Below are 6,000 nucleotides of genomic sequence, written 5' to 3'. Positions count from 1 at the left end.
GGTTCAGCAGCTACCTCACCTGCATCCTGCCTCCTGCTGTAGGAATCTAAACTTCATGGCTCTCTCAGGCTCCTACACAACTTACCTAATCAGCCTTCCTCCCAAGCCTGACTTATTAGCTGATTCCCATGATAACAAGCAGCTAGTCCAATAAACTGACTTAGGCCAATGGGTGAATGGCAGAGGAAGAGCTGCTTTCCTTCCTTCCAGACAACATGCTCAAGCTGGAAATGTAAAGATAATGCTCACATATCACTCTCCCTCATCCAACACCCATGTCATTTATTTTCCATGATGCATCAAATACACAGCTCTATGAACCTTTGCCTATGGGGAGTCACAGCCTAAGGGGAGGGCCAAGCCAGTGGGATATTTCTGAGTTGGGCTTTTGTCTTCTCAAAAAATAAGGGAAGGGGGATATGTTTCCCTCTCTATATCTCAGCACATAAAAATCTCCATACCCAATGCTGATGTATTTGATCCAGTGGTGCTAAGCTCTCCTTACAATGATAATTCACAGTATACAGAGTGGTTTAGATCATTTTTATGTTGGTGTTTGATAACAGAAGCACACTATCAGGAATCCAAGAAAATAAATTTATTAAACTTTGAAGGAAAAAATCCACAGACATAAAGAGAGTTAAATATAAACTGCCAGACACAACTAGTCATACTAGTGAATAATGGCTTATGTGGCCACCAAAGTACCAAAATGACATTCTGAGACTGATTGAGGTATTTAGCTATTTTTGGCTATAGAAATGTTGTCAGGCTGTTGTGAAATAGTAAGATAGTCTTCCAAACACACAGCTTTGAATTGAATTAGGTTCTACACTGATGATACTTTATATGAAACTAAATTATGTAGCTCTTGGAGAAAACCATAGCAGCAAAGTAGCAGAAAATCTATCAAACATCTATTACAAATAACATGTTGAACTTTAAACACTCAATTCTAGCTTTTCATAGTCCTTCCTGCAAGAGAGAGAATTTAAAATTATCAGCCATTAAGCTTGCTTCCTAAAAAAGGTCTGCGATAAATGGGAAATACTATTTAAGTTAAAGCTAACTTCAAAGTTTTAAGCTTTTTTAAAAAATGAGAAGTATTCTTCACTGAGATGAGATTCTTCTTTTTCATAAACCTTTTCAGGAGATATCCCAATGCTCTCAAGAATGATGTTTAGGGCTGGGCACGGTGGCTTACACCTGTAATCCCAGCACTTTGGGAGGCCGAGTCGGGTGGATCACGAGGTCAGGAGATCGAGACCATCCTGGCCAACATGGTGAAACCCCGTCTCTGCTAAAATACAAAAAAATTAGCCTGGCATGGTGGTGCGTGCCTGTAGTCCCAGCTACTCAGGAGGCTGAGGCACGGGAATCGCCTGAACCTGTGGGAGGTGGAGATTGCAGTGAGTCAAGATCGCGCCACCGCACTCTAGCCTGGCGACAGAGCGAGACTCTGTCTCAACAACAACAACAACAACAAAAATGAATGATGTTTAGGATATTAAGGGATTGCAAAATGATTTCTAAATTACTGAGGTTGCTTCTTTTTCTTCTGAATGCTTGCTTTGAGGCCAGTCCACTCAGAGAGGAAGTAAAAAATGATGAAACTTCTTCTTTTGCTATTTTAAATAAATCCTATAAAAGATTTAGTGAGAAAGAAAGTTTCTTTTAGCGGTTTAAATAATTTTCAGTTATCTGTGGGGACTGAAAACCTTGTTTCTTCTGTCTATGTTCTGTTCATTATCATGAAAAATGAGTATGTGTCTGGTTATAGGCTGTGAAACAAAAACTTATTTCTTGAACTCTTTGTTTCATTACCCAGTTAATTTCATTCGATTTGCTTCAACTTACAAAATGCTTCTTGTACCTTATTCCCTTCCTGGATAATTATGTAGCAAAACCAAGTTGGGTGTGAACAGATTCCGCTGCAGAGGCTATAGATCTTATCTCTCACCATCTGCACGCACTAAAAAACTCACTCCGCGTGCAATTGCAGCACTTAAGTATCTTGGTCAGTGTGAACCAGCTATGATTTCTACTTCTCTTAGCATGTATTTTTTTTTGGCATCAACCAAGATTTGGTGAAGAAAGGTTTTCTTTTTTGCTTTTACTTCTTTTGGTGCCTGGTAAGTTGATCTGTGCAAACGCTTTAAAGTTTTCTAAATTAACAAATACTTGTTTAAAAATTCAGATAAAACAATTATATTCCAATAATGCAGATTACTACAATCATTTTAGAATTGTTGAAGGAGTCTGGGGAGGTATAAAAGGGCTTTGTAAAAAACGAGTTTGTTTTTCTTTAGGTGCATTGGCCAAAACATTAAACCAGCTTTAGACTGTAGTTGCTACACTCCTTAGAGGGGTCATACCAACTGCAGTACACAGTGTGTAGTGTAATATAAAATAGCCATGCTTGAAGTCTAAATTATTAAAAAATCTTTATCAACTTTATGTCAAAATAAATGTTTTACATATCCAAACTATTTTTGCCTTCTTGCTTATAGTTTAAATTTCTCACCTCTAGTTTTTAGTTTTTTAAATAAAAAAGTTTCTTATTTAAGAAACAACAAAAAATTAGCCTGTGCTATGGTTTGCATTCAATTTTCCTGAACCGCAAAAGCCACCTGATTTTTTCGCTTTTTCAAAAAGCGTGATTTACTATACATTAAAAACATAGCCATTCAATGCTTAGTATCAAAAATTAACACCCACAATATTAAGACAATCACTGCTACTAAACAGTCTGACACAATTCTTTAAAATATTTACATTGCACAATAGGAATATCTATCTGATTAAGCATTCTTCTTATTTTTTTAACATCATATTTCAACATTTTGGGAAAAGGCATTTTAGAATCCATACCCCATCCTGTCACTCCCCCAAAAAAGGTTTAAACATTGTTTTGGCTTAAACGTTATTGCCCCAGTCAATTCTTTGCTATTAAATACGTAGCTCTTGGGAAACCAAAGAAAGGCTAAGGCATGATTTTGTTCAGTTGGTCTGTGCTCACATAGCCACATGATGAGAGAAACTCTTTGTCAGGCAAGGGCAAGGCAGTCGCATTGAGTATGAGGCCCTGTGGGGACTGTACTATATGAATGGAGGTATAGTCTGGGACAGGCATCTCAGAACCTGGAACATGTTCTCCTGTCCCAGGCCTCCCAGCAGCAGTGGTAAGGCTTTCTGTGGTGATGTAAATGTCCTCTTGGTTTAAGCTTGGCTGTATGTGTGATTCAACCTTGATGTGAGGAGCCACAGGGATGCACTTTTTGGCATCTGCCTCACAGAAGTAGGCATTGTCCATAAGGAAGTTTTCTTGGCAGAGTGAGACCATTTCCGGGTGCATGTCACATTGGGACATCCCTGCCTTATTCTTTTGGCCCGGGGAAAGGACCACACTACCTGCTGGTGTAATGTCGCTCACCTGGGCATAAAAGTCGATGTTTGACAGTGAACTTGGATTGCTTAGCTGAATATGGGCAGCTTGGTGAGTTGACTCAGCTCCTTCAGTAGGAAGTGGTTGTGGTTTGTTTTTCTCTGCTTGGATAACACTGGGCTGCTGAGTAGCAGGGCAAGCATCATGATAAGGTGAGTTATTTTGATTCTTCTGGTCAAGGCATAAGAGATCTGCTTCCCCTTTTAACCTCTGTGGCTGAGCAACCTCTGAGGTACCCTCATGTATGTCATTGGCATTGAAATCAGTCTCCAGAATGTCAGGTTCACAACAGCTGGTACGTCCAGAGTCGCCATCCTTCACCCCTAGGTTACTATGTGATTTCTCATGGTCACTGCTTAGAAGTCTGTCTGTGTCTGATTCCTCAGTCTTTTCATCTGGCTCATCAATATCTAGCTCAATAAATTCAACCCAAGAGTCATCACTGTGGAATTCGGGTTTATAGCTATCATGAATGGCTAAGATTGTGTTCACCTCCTCTAATTTTCCTTCCTAGAAAATAGAAAGAAAATGAAGATCTATGAAAAGAAACTCATAATAATTAAATGAATTAGCAAATAATGTTCAGAGATTAATTATGGTTACAATAAGAACAACAGTAACAAAACATATAAAAAAACATAAATTAGTGTGTAACTTTTTAAATACATATGACGTTTTCTTATTTTTAAGAAATAGAATATTTAAAAAAATTTTCTCCAGGAGAAGAGACACAAGAAAATTGAATGTGATATATATAGCTTACAGAAAACCTTCAACATATGACAGGAGTCTTCAGGTGTTAATTAGTACTAGCTACAATTTAGATAAAATTATTAGTTACCTTGAGGAGATCTGGATCGATTCCTTTAATCTTTGGAACTGGAACTGGGGGCAGAATCAGCATTTTAATCCTTGAAAACATATAAAATTTTGGTTTTGACATCTTAAAAGCTACATATTCTCAATTATAGCAAAAGATAGAAATAAAATATTGGCAATACTATTACTTTTTCCAAATATTCTGGTACTTTATATAATTGGAGTGTGAGAAACAGAAGAAAATATTAGACAGTAAATGAGAAAGAAAAACTGTAGAAGGAAAAAAAAGAACAACTAAAAAACCCAAAAAGCCTCATCTGAAGTCTATTAAAAGAAAATGTGGTTTTCCCACAATTGTTTTTTTCTTAATGCTTTTTATTTTCAGCCAGATTTAGTATTTGAAAGAAAGAAATTTAATTTCATCTAAAGCTGATTTCCATTTCAGCTATAAGGCAATTCTAGTGTACATCTCATCAGTAATTTGTACAGGAAAGAAAGAAAAAAGAGTCAATCCACATGGAGCCAAGATTACTTACACCCTTGAAAAAGGGTAGACTTGGGTAGGTTAGCCATATAGTTCATATTAATTATGAAATTATCTAAGATGATCTTATTAACCAGGGTTTTACTACAGGGTTCATTTCAGATGGGACAGATTAAATTTTAACTATCTCTAACTAATCAGTATGGGTTTATATATACAATTCTAGGATGCACTTACATTTTTTGTTCCAAATCTTTAAATTATTTTTTGGTCATAAAAATGAATAAATCATGTATCTATTTTGTACAATTAATAGTGTAATTGGAATTTATGGTGTTTTTAATTTTTTTTAAAACTTTTTGAGACAGGGTCTTACTTCATTGCCCACACTGGAGTCCAGTGGTGCAATCATAATTCACTGCAGCCTCAAACTCCTGGGCCAAGCGATATTCTTGCCTCAGCCTCCTAAGTAGCTAGGACTACAGGGTGTGCTAATTTTTGTTGTTTCATTTTTTGTAATGGAGTCTTGCTCTAGTCATTGCCCGAGCTGTCTGGAACTCCTGGCCTCAGGGCAATACTCCCGCCCCATCCTCCCAAAGTGCTGGATTTATATGCTATAAGCCATTGTATCTGGCCTGGAGTTTATTTTTTAAAATCAAATTATAGCACTGGAAAAAGGCTCAGAGATTATTCCAAACAATTCATTTAATTTTTTAAAAAACTCCTGACTATTCAGAGATGACACTGTCATGAAGAGGTGGTAACCAGATTTTTGGATATCAGTTACTATTCCACTCAGTGTGAATGGTCAGTCCAGTCCATTCCATAAGGAGTACATTTTCTCAGTATTTCCACTTGCTATTTTACCTAATCCAAGTAATAAGCAAAAATCCATTTTATAAATTGCATTAAGTAGCCTCTACTACTCAGTGGGGCAAATGTTAAAGCATATTGTTACTGATGAATTACAGATATAGAAATAAGTAATACAAATTATTAATAATAACTACTATCATTTTTTAGTGCTTCTGATAAATCAGACACTGTGGGATATACTTTGCACTAAACTATGGGTCACTAAATTAAGGTCTGTGGGCCAAATCTGGCCTGTCACATGTTTGTGTAGATAAAATTTTATGAGAACACAAGCATCTTCATTCATTTCCATTTTGTTTATGGCCACTTTCGTGCTACAGTGGCAGAGTTGAGTAGCTGTGATAGAGACTGTATGGCTTGAAAAGCCTAAAAATGT

The 6,000-nt window shown here is 36.8% G+C and overlaps 1 protein-coding gene across 11 annotated transcripts in view; it reads right to left on the bottom strand.

The window, feature by feature from the left end:
* The window catches only part of GHR (growth hormone receptor), a 298,440-nt gene continuing 292,969 nt past the window's right edge, over nucleotides 530–6,000 (bottom strand). For 10 of the 11 annotated variants that reach the window (NM_000163.5, NM_001242460.2, NM_001242400.2 and 7 more), the window contains 2 exons: nucleotides 4,287–4,356; nucleotides 530–3,955 (listed from right to left, as the gene is read on the bottom strand). In NM_000163.5, coding sequence (NP_000154.1) covers nucleotides 2,984–3,955; nucleotides 4,287–4,356 — 1,042 coding nt within the window. In that variant the 3' untranslated portion in view covers nucleotides 530–2,983. The remainder of the gene's footprint in view (nucleotides 3,956–4,286; nucleotides 4,357–6,000) is intronic. The other variant, NM_001242462.1, reaches the window with a different exon arrangement.

Source organism: Homo sapiens, chromosome 5 (assembly GCF_000001405.40).
Source record: "Homo sapiens chromosome 5, GRCh38.p14 Primary Assembly".
Lineage (NCBI taxonomy): Eukaryota > Metazoa > Chordata > Mammalia > Primates > Hominidae > Homo > Homo sapiens.
The sequence above is the reverse complement of the archived record's forward strand: the minus strand, read 5'-3'. Positions and strand labels throughout refer to the sequence as shown.